We start from the raw sequence: 17,569 nt of genomic DNA on the forward strand, positions 1-17,569 counted from the left end.
ATACAGGTGCAAATGAGGCATTTAAGAGTCGGGGGCAGGTCCTACATTCAAGGAACGCTGAGAGCGAACAGGTGATAAGAGCGCACAGGTGCCCACTTTCAGCACAATCATGACTCCCGCACCAGAAGCATGAGCATCACCTGGGACTTAATACAAAAGAAAAAGTTATCGGCCCTGCCCCAAATTTACGGAATCATACACTACGGCGGTAGGGCCTGGCCTTCTGTGTTACTACACGCCCTGGGGTGACTGGGATGCGCTCAAGTCTGCGAAATGCCAGCCAAATCAACCCCGAGATGTAACCGATGGCGCGCGCCACACTAAGCACTCCATAGGTGCTCCTCCTCGCCGCACTTCACAGACTCAATTATCACAGACTCAGGGGCGCTACGTAGTCACTCACCCCCCCCCCCCCCCCCCCCGCTCCCCAGGCAACTCGCGGCGGGCGAATCGGCGGCTTTCGCGGCCTCGCTACGTCCGTAGGCATCAGTCCGCGAGACCGGCTGGGAGCCTAGGAAGCGCTGCAGGGCGGTGAAGACGCGGTCCGCTCTGGGAAGTTAAGAGATGGCGTCCATAAAGCACATCTCCCAAGCCGAAACACACAAGCACTCTCTCTCCCCGCTGCACCCAGGTCCTAGAAGAGGCGTCCCGTGTGCCCTTAACTAACGCCCGGATAAAAACGGGCGGCTTTTTTAACACGAGCGCAAAGCAGGGGAGCGCAGGGGGTACGGGGTCCACTGGCAGAAGGAGAGAGGGCGGCCAGGCGCCACCACCCACCCGCCCCGGCAGGCCTGCGCGCTCTTCCGCGACCGCTTAGGCAGACACGAACTCAGACTCGTAGCTACTAAAACCGCCACTGCCACGCACCTGGTAGCTAAGTCAAGAAAAGAGTCCAGTCCACTTGGCTGCTCCCGCGGTTGCGCGCATCTCGGCCTCTGCCTCAGGACAGGTCCACAGGCCCAAGAATGGGGGAGAAAGCAGTGAAGCAAAGCGGAACGCGCGGAAGAAGCCGACCAGCCTTACGGAGGCGACGCCCCTCCAGGTTTGGATTCGTCCATACGGTTTCCACGGCAGCACACAGAACGCCGGAAGAAGCTCAGGAAGCCGACTGGCTGTGCAGTTTCCGTTCCTGTTGGCTGGGGCCCGGAAGTGAGAGACCACGAGGGCCCCTCCCTCCACCCAAAGGGCATCACGCCCTGCCTTTGGACGAGCCCACAGGCCAGAGACTGGGGCGGGAAGTGCTGGAGTAACAGTCATAGTGGTCGGCCCACCATCCCTCTATGTTTGGATTTGCTCATTCCATCTCCATGGCAGCACGCAGAACGCTGGAAAAACGCAAAGCGCTGATTGGTTAAGAGTCTCAGTTCCTATTGGCCAGAGTCCGAAGTGGGAGCCCGTGAGGGACTACTCTTCAATCTTAAGTGGGTGCTGAGGCTAGAGTGTGGAGAACTGAGACCTCGTCATTTCTTCTCTTCCCGTTCCCACTGTCCTTCTGTTTCCTTCCATTCTTTTCTTTCTGGCTTCTTCTGGGAGCTCAGGTAGACATGGTGGCATAGTCTGGATAACCAACGCCTCAGAAGCAGGGGCCCCGGGGTCCTCACCATTTAGAAAAGAGAAGGCTGTGAATTACCTTCCTTTTTGGAGATGGAGGAAACAGATGAGACACTCTGATCTCAAGTTGATTGTGTAAACTAAAAATAAAAGTTCCAAGCCCCCCTACCAACTGAGTGGATCCCTCCTCTGGGCCAAAGGCACGCCAAAGTTAACCTGAAGAACTAGCTCAGGCAATGATGGGAAGATGGGGTGGGACAGGCCTCATTATACCCTCCTCCCGTTGGAATACAGGCACAGCTGACCAGCGTTAACATTAAACAGAGACCTTAAGACTGACAAAACAGACTTTTTTGCAGCAATAAGATACCAACATGGCAGCAGGCCCCAAAAGACATTGAAGTATTTTATCCTGATATATATATACACACACATAGACAAACACACACACACATATACTCTTATGTATACATATATACTCATATACGTATATATATATATATTTTTTTTGAGACAGTCTCGCTGCATCACACAGACTAGAGGGCAGTGGCGCAATCTCGGCTCACTGCAACCTCCACCTCCTGGGTTCAAGTGATTCTCCTGCCTCAGCCTCCCAAGTAGCTGGGATTACAGGCGTGTGCCACCACACCAGCTAATTTTTGTATTTTTAGTAGAGACAGGGTTTCACTGTGTTGGCCAAGCTCATCTTGAACTCCTGACCTCAGGTGATCCACCCGCCTTGGCCTCCCAAAGTGCTGGGATTACAGGTGTGAGCCACCGTGCCTGGCCAAATATATTTATTTGACATATTTTGAAATGGCCTTGCAGAGCTATCTCTTCTGGGGGGAATCTACATTCTGTAAAGAATCCCCTTGTCTTTCCAGGTCTTTTCCCTGATGCTGGAGAGAATTAACTGAGAACCTGACACCTGTTTTAAGTCTGATAAGAAACATTTACAATCTATTCTCTCTGAAACCTGCTACATAGAGGCTTCATCTGCAGAACAAGAACCCTGGTCTCTGCAACCTCTTATCTCAACCCAGACACTGCCTTCTATTGGCTCCAGGTCTTTATATAATAACTCTTTTAACCAATTGCCAATTGTAGGGTATATGGATGTGCTTTGGTCAAGGAATAGGCCAAGGTGGACATCCGGGCCAGAGTGGCTCAGCGAGTTTAGGACACAGGCGCATATTCCACTTGTTATGTAACCCGTTTATGTAAGTTCATACTTGGATCTGAGCCACTATTGTCTGTAGAAGGTATAACTGCCCTGCTGACACTGTGCCCAGGTCTGAGTTCAGCACGACACGACCCGGTTCGTGCACTGGTGCCCAGAGTAATGCTACTAACCCCTCTAAGGGAGAGCGGTTGCCCTTAAGGTGGGCAGAGGGGAGCCGAGCCAGGAACCAGCTTGTGCCCAGAGGGAGAGTTAAGCTGCTGACCCTGACAGAGCTGGCTTTGCAGGCCAGGGTGTGCAGCTGCAGGCATGGGGGCAACAGGAGCCACAGAGCCAGAACAGACAGCCGAGATAAAGGTGGACAGTGTGAGAGAGCTAGTGTGATTAAGCTGCTGATGACACAGCCGCTGAATAAAACTACATTTCACTTGCCTACACGCCCCCAACCCTCCTTGTGTTCTTTCAGTTATTCGCCCATCCACCCACTCCCCTTGGACCTCAGCTGGGGGCTGGAACCTGACAATTGGCGTAGTCGTGGCATAACACCAATCACCTATTAAATCCACCCTATGATGTAGAAGCTCTTTCCAGCTTCGAGTTGTCCCACCTTTCCTGACCCAACCAATACCTTATGTCATGTATTGATTGATGTCTTATTTCTCCGTAAAACATGTAAAACCGAGCTGCAGCTCAGTCACCTTAGCTGTCAGGCCTCTGAGCCTAAGCTAAGCCATCATATCCCCTGTGACCTGCACGTATACATCCAGATGGCATGAAGCAACTGAAGATCCACAAAAGATGTGAAAATAGCCTTAACTGATGACATTCCACCATTGTGATTTGTTTCTGCCCCACCCTACCTGATCAATTTACTTTGTAATCTCCCCCACCCTTAAGAAGGTTCTTTGTAATTCTCCCCACCCTTGAAAATGTACTTTGTGAGATCCATCCTCTGCCCGCAAAACATTGTTCCTGACTCCACCGCCTATCCCAAAACCTATAAGAACTGACGATAATCCCACCACCCGCTGCTGACTCTCTTTTCAAACTCAGCCCACCTGCACCCAGGTGAAATAAACAGCCTTGTTGCTCACACGAAGCCTGTTTGGTGGTCTCTTCACACGGACACGTGAGACATTAGCCATATGTTCCTAGGGCCTCTTGAGACTGTGCCTCGAGCCATGGTCACTCAGATTTGGCTCAGAATAAATCTCTTTAAATATTTTACAGAGTTTAACTCTTTTTGTCAACCATCACTTACGGCTTTCAAAGCTCCACACTTGCAAGTTTCAACCACCAGATACACTGGAGCCTGTACTCCAGCCCGAGCAACAGCGCAAAATCCTGTCTGTAAAAAGGAAATTTAAAAAGAAATTTTATTTTTTGCTAACTTTACATGCATTGTTATTATTTAATGCCTCTTTGTATGAAGTAAAAAATAAATTTCTTTTCTGCAGCATTTAATGCAATGCTTTGCCTAAAGAAGGAAGTTTCTATGTGCTTGAATGAGAGATTCTTTTTTTTTGGAGACAGAGTTTAGCTCTTGTTGCGCAGGCTAGAGTGCTAACCTAGCTACACTCTAGAGACAGGGGTTTCTCCATGTTAGTCAGGCTGGTCTTGAACTCCCGACCTCAGGTGATCTGCCCGCCTCGGCCTCCCAAAGTGCTGAGATTACAGGTGTGAGCCACCGCGCCCGGCTGACAGATTCTTTATGATCATCCAGAGGTGAGAAAATGAACCAGCTCCCCTCTTCAGCATCCTTCAATGCAAAAGTGGTTTGCAAACTTTACCATCAGAATCACCTGGAGCTCTTGTTAAAACATAGATTTCTGGCTCCACCTACAAAACTTCTGATTCTGTATCTCAATGGGGCCTAAAATTTTGCATTTCTATCAACTTACCAGGTGATGTCAATGTTGCAAGTTGAGCACCACACTTTTCAAACAACCATCTAGAAAAACTGTTCTGATCTCAGGTAAATCACATCTCCTTTTACTTCTGACCCTTCCTGCCTTCTCAAGAGTCTCAGCATCCATTATTGTCAGTTCTGTGTATTTAACAGGTTTGGTAGGGAAAACGTCTCCTCCTGGACTACTGTCAAATTAATGAAGATTAAAACTTTGAAATATTTTGTTTATTCTGAGTTTTTATAAATAACCTAAAAGTTCATGTCAGAAGCAATATCAGATCCTGGGTCTTCTTAGCCTAAGTTCCTTGGATGCTTCTGTCAGAGAAATGCGAACCAGAGTGACTCCATCTCGAATAGGGGCTGGGTAAAATAAGGCTGAGACCTTCTGGGCTGCATTCCCAGGTGGATAGACATTCTTAATCACGGGATGAGAGAGGAGGTCGGCACAAGCTAGAGGTCAAAAGACCTTGCTGATAAAACAGGTTGCAGTAAAGAAGCCAGCCAAAACCCACCAAAACCAAGATGGTGACAAAAGTGGCCTCTGGTCATCCTCACTGCCCATTATATGCTAATTAAATGCATTAGCATGATAAGAGACACTCCCACCAGTGCCATGACAATTTACAAATGCCATGGCAACATCAGGAAGTTACCCTATATGGTCTAGAAGCGGGAGGTACCCTCAGTTCTGGGAATTGCCCACCCCTTTTGCGGAAAACTTAGGAATAATCCACCCCTTGTATAGCATATGTCAAGAAATAGGCTAGGCATGGTGGCTGACGCCTGTAATCCCAGGACTTTGAGAGGCCAAGGCGGGCAGATCACTTGAGATCAGGAGTTTAAGACCAGAATGGCCAAAATGGTGAAACTCCGTCTCGACTAAAAATACAAAAATTAGCCGGGCACGGTGGCATGCACCTGTAATCCCAGCTACTTGGGAAGGTGAGGTGGGAGAACTGCTTGAACCCGGACTGGGTGGGGGGCTGAGGTTGCAGTGAGCCAAGATGGCACCACAGCACTCCAGCCTGGATAACAGAGTGATACTCTGCCTCAAAAAAAAAGGAAGGAAGGAAGGAAGGGAGGGTGGGCAATTATCAGTCCAGCAGCCCAAGCTGCTGCTCTGCCTATGGAGTAGCCATTCTTTTATTCCTTTACTTTCTTAATGAACTTACTTTCACTTTACTCTATGGATTCACCTCGAATTCTTTCTTGCTTGCGATCCAAGAACCCTCTTTTGGGGTCTGAATTGGGACCCCTTTCTGGTAACACTTCCAGGCAATACGTGAACCTACAAAGACAATTAAATTTTTGTATGCATGTGCATTTTTTTCTGGCTAGAGGGTTTGTGAGTTTGGTCAGATTCTCAAAGGTGCCAATGACTCAGAAAAGTTTAAGAACTCCTGCTATAGATAATTTTAAGACAATATCACAAAAGACAAACTAGAGAAAGCATGGACCATTTTAAGACAGTATCACAAAAGACAAACCAGAGAGGCTGGGCGCGGTGGCTCACACCTGTAATCCCAGCACTTTGGGAGGCCAAGGCGGGCGGATCATGAGGTCAGGAGATCGAGACCATCCTGGCTAACATGGTGAAACCCCATCTCTACTAAAAATACAAAAAATTAGCTGGGCATGGTGGCGGGTGCCTGTAGTCCCAGCTCCTCGGGAGGCTGAGGCAGGAGAATGGTGTGACCCTGGGAGGCGGAGCTTGCAGTCAGCTGAGATCACGCCACTGCACTCCAGCCTGGGTGACAGAGTGAGACTCTATCTCAAAAAAAAAAAAAAGACAAACCAGAGAAAGCATGGAACCTACCTACTCAGTGACCACTACTGGTCCAAAGATTAGACCTTGACAGACATTAGTTAAATTTCAAAAAGTATAAAACAGCTGAGTGCTATTTAGATTCTTAAGTAGGACTGAGAGCTGAAATGCCAGGTTTTGAATTGCTTAAATTCCTAAGTGCTTTCAGAGTGACCTTTGCTTTCATCTCAATTTTAGATTTTCATTCTCATTATAATTGGTAAGAGTGAATCTGACATGGAAAATATCAATGCGGAGTTTATTTGGGCAAATTCTTCCTCCCAGAAACAACTAATGTCTCATCTTCCTCACTTCTAGATGATCATAAAGAACCTCTTGCCAGACCCAGTGGGTCACACCTGTAATCCCAGTACTTTGGGAGGCTGAGGTGAGAGGATCACCTGAGCCTAGAAGATCAAGGCTGCAGTGAGCTGTGATCGCACCACTGCCCTCCAGCCTGGGCGACAGAGTGAGACCTTGTCTCAAAAAAAATTAAAAACAAAAAACTCTTCATTCGAGCACATAGAAACTTCCTTTTTTTAAGGCCGGGCGCGGTGTCTCATGCCTGTAATCCCAGCACTTTGGGAAGCCGAGGCAGGTGAATCAACTGAGGTCAGGAGTTGAAGATCAGCCTGGCCAACATGGTGAAACCCTGTCTCTACTTAAAATACAAAAATTAGCCAGGCGTGGTGGCAGGTGCCTATAATCCTAGCTACTCAGGAGGCTGAGGCAGGAGGATCTCTTGAACCTGGGAGGCAGAGGTTGCAGTGAGCATAGATCGTGCCACTGCACTCCAGCCTGGGCAACAGAACAAGATGCTCAAAAAAAAAAGAAAGAAAGAAAAGAAAAAGAAAGAAACTTTCTTTTTTAGGCAAAGCATTGCATTAGATATTGCAGGAGAGAAAAAAATATTTTATTCGTACAAAGAAGTATAAGAATAATAATAGTGCATTTAAGTTAGCAAAATACAAAGTTCCTTTTTAAATTTCTTTTCTTTTTGTGATAGAGTCTCCCAGGCTGGAGTACAGTGGCATGATCTTGGCTCACCACAACCTCCACCTCCCGAGTTCAAGCAATTCTCCTGCCTCAGCCTCCTGAGTAGCTGGGATTACAGCTGTCTGCCACCACACCCAGCTAATTTTTGTATTTTTTAGTAGAGACGGGGTTTCACCATGTTGACTAGGCTGGACTCCTGACCTCAGGTGAACCGCCTGCCTCGGCCTCCCAAAATGTTGGCATTACAGGCATGAGCCACTGTGCCTGGCCTAAATTTCTTTTTTAGAGACAGGGCCTCCTTCTGTTGCCTAGGCTACAGTGCAGTGGCATGATAATAGCTTACTGTAGCCTCAGACTCCTGGGCTCAAGAGATTCTCCCATGTCAGCCTCCCTAGTAGCTAGGACTCCAGATGCACACCACCATGCCCGGCTAATTGTGTATGTGTGTGTAGATGGTGCCTGGGGTCTCACTATGTTGCCCAACCTGGTCTCAAGCAATCCTACCGTCTCGGACTCCCAAAATGCTAGGATTACAGGCGTGAGCCACCACACCCAAAAATGTTTATTATCTGAAGTATGCTTTACCCTCAAGTTCTAAAGGCACCTAAAAAGGAGAAAAAAATGTTTTCTCATGTTTAGTTTTAAATTATTTTATTTCTACAAATTCATGGGGTAAGTGTGAAATTTTGTTACACATATATAATTCATAGTGATCAAGTCAGGGTATTTAGGGTGTCCATCACTCAAGTTCCATATCTTTTTGTTAAGTATTATCACCCTACTCTGCTATTAAACATTGAATTTCTTCCTTCTATCTTATTATATTTTTGTACAATTTAACACACTTTACTTCATTATCCCCTCTCCTCCCACTCACCTTTCCCATTCTCTGTAGTTTATCTTTTCAATTCGTCCCTCCATGTGATCAATGTTTTTAGCTTCCACATATAAGTGAGAGCATGAATTATTTGTGTTTTTGTGCCTGGCTTATTTCACACAAAATAATGGCCTCCAGTTCCATCCATGTGGCTGCAAATGACATTATTTCATTATAGAAAAAATAAATGAGGGAAAAGGAAAACAAATTAAGAAAATCCACTTGAATACTGGAGAGCAGTTAGAACAAAGAATACTTATTTTGAAGGCTCTAAAGGACTTCACAGGTGCTCAGGGTGGCCCCTAAGACAGACTCTCCACCTCTACTTAGAAGGGAACAAAAATAAGACACTTGGGAAAGGCTACAATTGTCCTCACGAAATAATGTGTAGACTTAAGATTCAAGGTGAAGAACTGAACACGTGAATTTACCACAAAGACTCCTAAAAGCTCACTAAAATGACTGAATTGGGATTGAAACCATAAGGGCACTTAAGAACAAGCAAGGGAACCATCATTAGGTGGAAGTTCTTAAGCATTTTTTGGAACACAGAAAAAGCACTTGACTTTAGACAGAGGATTCACAGCAACTGCAACTCAGCCACTAACATGTTAGTCCTGGAGCATTTATCCTCATCTTGTTAATGGATGAAAAGAATTCCACCTTTAATACCAGCAGACCTCATCACCCAAGGCAAGTTTCTCCATGTAGTAACATTTGCCTTCAAGGTAAAACATGGAAATACTTTCTAAACAATATGAACAAAAGGCTTGGGACAGTGGAGAATGAGTGAAAATCTGCCTTTTGAACCACAGAGCCTTTCCTTAGCCCCCTTTCCTGCAAACATAATGGCAATTAGTCTTCTAATCTTCAATTAAAAATTGTAATATTATTTAGTGAGAAAGAGACTTGTACAAGAAATACTGACATCTGGCAAAAGAGAATATTTCCTATTTTTTGTTTTGTTTTGTTTTGTTTTTTTGAGACAAGGTCTGGCTCTGTCGACCAGGCTGGAGTGCATGGCGTGATCTCAGCTGGCTGCAACCTCTGCCTACTGTGCTCAAGTGATCCTTCCATCTCAGTGTCCCAAATAGCTGGGACTACCGGTGTATGCCACGATGCCCAGCTAATTTTTGTATTTTTTGGAGAGATGGGTTTTTGCCATGTTGCCCAGTCTGTTCTTGAATTCATGAGCTCAAGTGATTCACCCGCCTAGGCCTCCCAAAGTGCTGGGATTACAGGCTTGAGCCTCCACAGCATCCAGCCACGTTTCCTAATTTAAAAATAAAACAAAAACAAACAAACAAAAAAAACAGGACTGGGCACAGTGGCTCATGCGTGTAATCCCAGCACTTTGGGAGGCAAAGGCGGGCTGATCACCTGAGGTCGGGAGTTCAAGACCAGCCTGACCAACATGGAGAAACCCCGTCTCTACAAAAAATACAAAATTAGCCAGGTGTGGTGGCACATGCCCATAATCCCAGCTACTTGGGAGGCTGAGGCAGGAGAATCGCTTGAACCCGAGAGGCAGAGTTTGCGGTGAGCCGAGATCGCGCCATTGCACTCCGGCCTGGGCAACAAGAGCGAAACTCCGTCTCAAAAAAACAAACAAGCAAACAAAAAAAACAAACTATGCTTCTAGAAGTCATTTAAAAAAAAATTCACTACCTCATCATCATAAAATGAAGTTTACCAATCAATAAACCCCCCAAATGTGCAGCAAACACTGAATGAGCCTTTTAGTGCCTTACTATTATATATGTGAACACATAGTCAGAAATATCAAGATATGTGGCTGGGCATGGTAGCTCATGTCTGTAATCCCAGCACTTTGGGAGGCCAAGGCAGGCAGATCACCTGAGGTCGAGAGTTCAAGACCAGCCTGGCCAGCATGGTGAAACCCTGTCTCTACTAAAAATGCAAAATTAGCCAGGAATGATGGCGTATGCCTGTAATCCCAGCTACTCAGGAGGCTGAGGCAGGAGAATCGCTTGAACCCAGAAGGCAGAGGTTGCAGTGAGCCGAGATCGCCCCATTGCACTCCAGCCTGGGCAACAAGAGTGAAACTCCGTCTCAAGAAAAAATAAAAAAAGAGAGAAATATCAAGATATGTGAGGAAAGACTCTAACATGAAAGCCATTAAAATAAGCAAACCAGTAACTCAGATAACTAAAAAATCAATGAAGAAAGCAAGTGAAAAACTTTAACAATTATAATTAATATCACCAAAAGCAAGTGAAAAGGCATGGTACCCATAGTTTGCATATTTTTATTTTACTTTTTACCAAATTCTTGTTTACCAGAGCTTGCATTTCATTTTATTTTATTTTATTTTATTTTAGATGAAGTTTCACTCTTGTTGCCCAGGCGGAAGTGCAATAGCACAATCTCGGCTTACCGCAACCTCCGCCTCCCAGGTTCAAGTGATTCTCCTGCCTCAGCCTCCCAAGTAGCTGGGATTACAAGCGCCCACCACCACACCCAGCTAATTTTTGTATTTTTAGTAGAGACGGGGTTTCACCACCTTGGCCAGGCTGGTCTCAAACTCCTGACCTCGCTATCTGCCCGCCTTGGCCTCCCAAAGTGCTGGGATTACAGGCATGAGCCACCACACCCGGCCACGTTTTATTTTTGATCAAGACATTTAAAAGTCTTTTTTTTTTTTAATTAGCAGTCAAATAGATTTTGTTATTAGCCTATATGTTATTTGGGTTTTGGAATTTACTGAAATTCTCTTTGTGGTCTAACGAATGGCTACTATTTTTTTTAATGTACCACAAGAGTTTGGAAAGAAGAAGTATTTCTTATTTGTTGAGTTCCAAATATCATATGCATATTTTCAAGCTTATTAACTGACATGTACAAATCTTCTAAACCCTCTTTTTATGTGGCATTGTCCTACTTACTCTGTCAGTTCCTGAGAAAGGTGTTTTGAAGTTGCTCATTATGGTTATGAATTTGCCAATTACATATTGGATTTAGTTTCAAGACAGTGAGCTTAGAAAAATAACAACAAGGCTGGACGCGGTCGCTCATGCCTGTAATCCCAACACTTTGGAAGGCTGAGGCGGCAGATCACTTGAGGTCAGGAGTTGGAGACCAGCCTGGCCAACATGCTGAAACCATCTCTCTACTAAAAATATAAAAATTAGCTAGGTGTGGTTGCAGGTGCCTGTGATCCCAGCTACTCTGGAGGCTGAGGCAAGAGAATCACTTGAACCTAGGAGGCGGAGGTTGCAGTGAGCCGAGATAATGCCACTGCACTCCAGCCTAGGCAACAGAGTGAGACTCCATCTCAAAAACAAACAAACAAACAAACAAAAACAAAAAAAAAGAAAAAGAGAAAAAGAAAAATAACAACAAAAATGATCACAGTGGAAACGGAAGAAAAGCATTACCAAAGATAAAAGCAGAAATTAATGAAATAGAAGGCAAAAATCCACTAGCCAGGGGCATAAATTTAGAAGGCAGGAGATGGTTTCCATGGTGCTCTTCCAGGTTGTAAAGCTGGCTATGATGTCATGGGGTCTCCAGTCCTCTTTAGGATATAGCGTGCTCCACTCTCAGATTACCAACTCAGGGAATGGATTCTCCTAAAGACAGAAACTGGAGGCTGGGAGCTTCAAGACTGATGCTCCCGTTTACTCTGGAAGACCTGGGAAGTAGCACGATAATTCTTCCAGCACTAGTGTATTAGTGAATACACTGGAAGAGCCAGACACCGTCTCCCTCTTGGATGGGAGATTTTCACCCTTATAATAACAACCTAAGAGTCCTTAAAATCTGTGGCCTTCTGGGATGTCTTTTTCCTTTAATAACCATATTAATGATTCCAGCATCCATTGCACATACTTGGCAACTCCAGAGTAGACTGGATTTTCAGGGAAATAATATTTTTTGGTCTTTTCTCACAACAAATTCCTTAAGTCTTGCTTCCTTCTCATCATCTTATCTCTAGCACATGCTAGTCTCATCTGACCCTGCTTCCCCTCACACATTTGACAGTGTAGAAGGGGACCTTTTTTTCCTCTATTCTTATAAGTTCTGTGACTGAGACCTGTGACTTTCACTGACCAAAGACAGATTAACAGGAGAAAAGCATACAAATTTTGTTTGATAATATTCTAAATTTTATGTGCACATGGAGGCCTTCGTAGAAAAGAAAGGAAGACTCAAATAAATGACTAGACCCAGGGGCTTATATATCATTTTAACAAAGAGCAATAAAATGTAGAAACATGAAGAGGCAATGGAAAAAGAGATTTGAGCTAAGGGGCAGTCTCACTCTGTCACACAGGCTGGAGTGCAGTGGCATAATCTGAGCTCCCTGCAACCTCTGCCTCCCGGGTTCAAGCAATTCTCCTGCCTCAGCTTCTCGAGTAGCTGGGCCTACACATGTGTGCCACCACACCTGAATAATTTCTGTATTTTTGGTAGAGATAGGGTTTCCGCATGTTGACCAGGGTGGTCCTGAACTCCTAGCCTCAAGTGATCAACCCATCTCAGCCTCCTAAAGTGTTGGGATTACAGGTATGAGCCACTGCACCCAGCCAGATGTATTATTTTAGTAAGGTTTGTTTCAACAGATTCATGTTGGTGTCAATTCCCCACCACCATTGATAAGAATGTTCTCTTTTTCCTGGTGCAGAGAGGGTAACTTTCTGGCAGGAAATTTATGCCCTCCTTTTAGGTAGAAAGAGGAGGTTAGGGAACACTTCCTGCATCTGCTGTTTCTCTCATCCAAGTATTAACAAGCATGACCCTGAAATCAGCTGTCTCTCAGTTGCCTTCAGTTCAAAATAGTCGATATGTCTAAGTGGCATGTTTTGGGATGGCATGTTCTGATCTTCTTCAACAGCACCTTTAAAAGTACTTTCCTTCTCCTTCTTCATTCCCCAAAGCCCATGTTACTCTGTGACACATACTTTTACTGAATGTGTGGCAATAACAGAGAGAAGTTGCAGCATAGAAAGAAAACAACTTAAAATTGAGTATTAAACATGGTGATGGTAAGGGTAGTAGAAAGCAGGCACTTGCACAGTGCTGATGGGAGAGCAATTTGGCAGTATTCATGAAAATGGCAAATGCACATCCCCATTCAATCCAGCAATTCCACTTCTAGGAAGTGATATGATCTCGGGTCACTGCAACCTCCACCTCCCGGGTTCAAGTGATTCTCCTGCTGCAGTCTCCCAAGTAGTTGGGACTACAAGCACGCACCACCCACACCTGGCTAATTTTTGTATTTTTTAGTAGATACGGAGTTTTACCATGTTAGTCAGGCTTGTCTCCAACTGCTGACCTCAAGTGATCTGCCTGCCTTGGTCTCCCAAAATGCTGGGATTACAGGTGTGAGCCACCACACTCGGCCTGTACATCATATGATTTAAATGCTTATTTTAAAATTATATATGTGTGTATACAATTATATGTGTGTATATACACATGTAATATATAAAATATCTATAATGTATACATGTGTATATATGTGTATATACCTATACATTACAGATATGTAAATGTGTACATATATATACACATATATGCATTATACACATATGAATACATATATTCTGATTTTCTTCAATAGTTCTTTTAAAAGAACTGTTTGCATATACATTTGTATATGTATATAGGTATACACATATATATACATGTAAGCGTGATGCCTCACACTCACAGGTAACCTAGGGCTCTGCCTGAAGCTCTTTCTATTTTCCCTTCTCACCTCTTCTACCCAGTCTTGGACTTCCCCCTCTTTCTTCCTTGTCTTCAGGGAAAAATTATTTATAAGTCCTATTATGTAGTCTGGGGCAGCATTTGAAATCTCTATTAATCACTTCCCTCTAGATGAAACTGACCTAATCTGTTATCTGCAAACATCATTAAAGAGTTTTCCTAAACAAATGTCTCCCATCCCTGATATTTACCTTCAGCAATTCAAAGAATTTGCAGATTATTATAATTTAAAGTTTTCTCTTACAAATTCAGGCCAAACTATTAGGTCAGCCTCCCTGAACAATCTCCAATAGGACAAGGGAGAGGTGCTCTCTCCTTGTCCAGAATAAAAGCTAGTTTCCTTTCCTCTTTCCTGGTACAGAGTTAACACTGAAAAGAACATTCTTATACATCAATCTTGGCAAGCATGTCAGGTTTTTTGTCTGAGGATAAATTCCTATGTGATAGGGTGGTGCCAACAGTTTAACATTTCCTCTGTGGCTTTAAAAACATTATTATTGGTCAGGCACAGTGGCTTGCGCCTCTAATCCCAGCACTTTGAGAGGCTGAAGTGGGCAGATCGCTTGAGCTCAGGAGTTCGAGACCAGCCTGGGCAATATAGCAAAAGCCCATCTCTACCAAAAATACAAAGAAAAACCCGGGTGTGTTGGTGCAAGCCTATAGTCCAGTTACTCAACAGGCTGAGGCAGGAGGATTCCTTGAGCCCGGGAGACAGAGGTTGCAGTGAGCTGAGATTGCGCCACTGCACTCCAGCCTGGGCAACACAGCAAGACACTGTCTAAAAAAAAAAAAAAAAATTATTAAGCTTAGAATGGCATTTTTCATTTGGAGAGTAGATATTTGCTTATTTTTCTACTTTTATTCTTTCAATTTTTACATAAGATTATTTAATCCATCTGGAATTTATTTTGGTGAACATTGGGAAATTAGGACATAATTTTATTACCCCTTAGAATACTTAGCCAATTATCCCAGCACTAAAATTCTCCCTTTCCTCAGAAACTTGTGATGCCTTCCTCATTATAGACCGACTTTTTGATATATGCATTAAGGTCTGTTTCTAGCTTATTAATTTTGCTCCATGGAGCTCTATTTTTGCACTAGTTGGAGATGGTTCTTAATAATTTTGTTTTAAATTTTTATAACAAAGAAGGAAGAAAAATTATCCGCAGAGAATGAGGGGACAGAGATGATAATGAAGACATAAAAGGGGGAAATGGTTAAGACAAGACAGTGTAGTGTGTGTAATGAGGAGTCATTTAGAGTTGAATAACTGAGGCACTGGGCTGCTCTAATGGCCTGGCTATGGGTGGAGAAAATCAGGTTATGATTAGAGAAAAAGTCTTCCATCAGTACTCTCTGGAATCCACATCAATTTAAAAGCAGAATCTGGCCGGGCACAGTGGCTCACACTTGTAATCCCAGCACTTTGGGCAGATCACCTGAGGTCAGCAATTCAAGACCAGCGTTGTCAGCTTGGTGAAACCCAGGCTCTACTAAAAATACAAAAATTAGCCGGGCGTGGTGGCGCATGCCTATAATCCCAGCTACTTAGGAGGCTGAGGCAAGAGAATCGCTTGAACCCAGGAGGTGGAGGTTGCAATGAACTGAGATCGTGCAACTGCACTCTGGCCTGAGCAACAGAGCCAGAGTCTGTCTTAAAAAAAAAAAAAGAAAGAAAAAATTAAAAGTAGAATGTAAGGATTCCTATGTATTCTCCATCCCTTTATTCAACAAATATATATTGAGGATCTACTATGTGTTGGACACTATATTAGCCTGAATCTAAATCAGTGATCAAAAAGATAGGATCGGGTGGTTTGAAAACCATGGTTTGGATACCAGCGGAGTCTGCAATGGAAGAGTTGATGCCTTGGCTATTGCCGGTAGAGCTCTGCAACTTGATGGAAGGTTTTGATCCCTCAGTACCCCTGAGGACCCCTCAGGAATGCCTGAGGTGGGTCCAGATCCAAGCAGCTCAATGTCCAGATGTTGTGGTAGCACAAATTGACCCAAAGAATTGAAAAGCAAGGCCGGGAGCAGTGGCTCATGCCTGTAATCCCAGCACTTTGGGAGGCCGAGGTGGGCAGATCACGAGGTCAGGAGTTCGAGACCAGCCTGGCCAACGTGGTGAAACCCCATCTCTACTAAAAATACAAAAAATTAGCCTGCCATGGTGGTGTGCACCTGTAATCCCAGCTTCTCGGGAGGCTGAGGCAGGACAATTGCTTGAACCTGGGAGGTGGAGGTTGCAGTGAGCTGAGATTGTGCCATTGCACTCCAGCCTGGGCAACAAGAGCCAAACTCCGTCTCAAAAAAAAAAAAAAAGGAAGTTGAAAAGGAAGCAAAGTGTTAATATTTTTCTTTCAGGATGCCAACCAGCCACTGAAGGTTATTCCCCAACACTTCGGTGGCAACAGCAACAAGTGGCACTGTTTTCAACTGTTCGACAGAATGTGAACAAACATAGAAGTCACTGGAAATCACAACAGTTGGATAGTAATGTGACTATGCCAGAATCTGAAGATGAAGAAGGCTGGAAGAAATTTTCTCTGGGTGAAAAGTTATGTGCTGACGGGGCTGTTGGATCAGCCACAGTTGAAAGTCCCGGAGTAGATTCTGCACAAGGAAGATGCTTTATGCTTTATTGACTTGTCTGGAAAAGCCTTTATTACCTCAGGCTCATTCATTGATTCGGCAGCTTGCAAGGTGTTCTGAAGTGAGGCTCTTAGGGGAGAGCAAAGATGATGAGAAGGTTCCTGCTTTGAATTTATTACTTTGCTTGCTTAGCAGGTATTTTGACCAATGTGATTTAGTTGATGAGCCATCTTTATGTAGTGATCTCTCAGGAATAGAAGATATTTCTCACGAAGGCACCTTAACTCTGAGGAAATGCAATGCCAATTCAAGTACAGATTGCAACACAACTTCAACACGATGTCAGGAGTTCACATCTTAACCTGTGCTGTTCAGGTTGATACTCAGAATATAGGTTGTATTGATTGAATGTCTGAAATATCAATGAAAAATCACCCCCCAGTTTTTGATGAACAGTTTGAACAGTTTTCTGTAATCAAGCAGCTTGCATAGAAATTGTATGATGAAATCTTACATAGGTTATTGGTACTGTTTTGTTGTTTATCTACATATGTACATATAAAATTTTATTGAAAATATGTTTTGGTTACTAAAATTTTGTTTGACTCTTAACAAAAGACAATGGATGGCCTTAGCATCAGAATTAAAATAATGTAGAGTAAATAACAAATGCATTCACAGCAATAAAATTAATCAAGCATTAAAAAAAAAAAGATAGGATTGGCTGGGTGTGGTGGCTCACACTCTTAATCTCAGCACTTTGGGAGGCTGAGGCAGAAGAATTGCCCGAGCTCAAGAGTTTGAGACCAGCCTGAGCAACATAGCAAGACCCTGTCCCAAAAATTAAAAAAAAAAAAAAAAAAAAAGATCCACCCTCCTGGAACGTCCTGAAAATACAGAAACAGTTCCTGGAGT

At 44.1% G+C, this 17,569-nt stretch overlaps 1 protein-coding gene and 1 pseudogene across 4 annotated transcripts in view, besides 2 other annotated features; one reads left to right on the top strand and one right to left on the bottom strand.

Annotated features, from left to right (window-relative positions):
* The window catches only part of ULK4 (unc-51 like kinase 4), a 715,505-nt gene extending 714,550 nt beyond the window's left edge, over positions 1 to 955 (bottom strand). For all 4 annotated transcript variants that reach the window (NR_136342.2, NM_001322501.2, NM_017886.4 and 1 more), the window contains exon 1: positions 868 to 955. The gene's annotated coding sequence lies outside the window, so the exon portion shown is untranslated. The remainder of the gene's footprint in view (positions 1 to 867) is intronic.
* Positions 925 to 1,084: an enhancer, noted in NCBI's record as "active region_19726". NCBI's record gives its function as "activates an Ori minimal core promoter by ATAC-STARR-seq in GM12878 lymphoblastoid cells {active_cell/tissue: GM12878}" and the evidence as "EXISTENCE:reporter gene assay evidence [ECO:0000049][PMID:35858748]".
* Positions 1,235 to 1,284: an enhancer, noted in NCBI's record as "active region_19727". NCBI's record gives its function as "activates an Ori minimal core promoter by ATAC-STARR-seq in GM12878 lymphoblastoid cells {active_cell/tissue: GM12878}" and the evidence as "EXISTENCE:reporter gene assay evidence [ECO:0000049][PMID:35858748]".
* GEMIN2P2 (gem nuclear organelle associated protein 2 pseudogene 2) lies at positions 15,880 to 17,015 on the top strand (annotated as a pseudogene).
* The last annotated feature ends 554 nt before the right edge of the window (positions 17,016 to 17,569 follow it).

The sequence above is a fragment of the Homo sapiens genome, chromosome 3, assembly GCF_000001405.40.
Source record: "Homo sapiens chromosome 3, GRCh38.p14 Primary Assembly".
Taxonomy (NCBI): domain Eukaryota; kingdom Metazoa; phylum Chordata; class Mammalia; order Primates; family Hominidae; genus Homo; species Homo sapiens.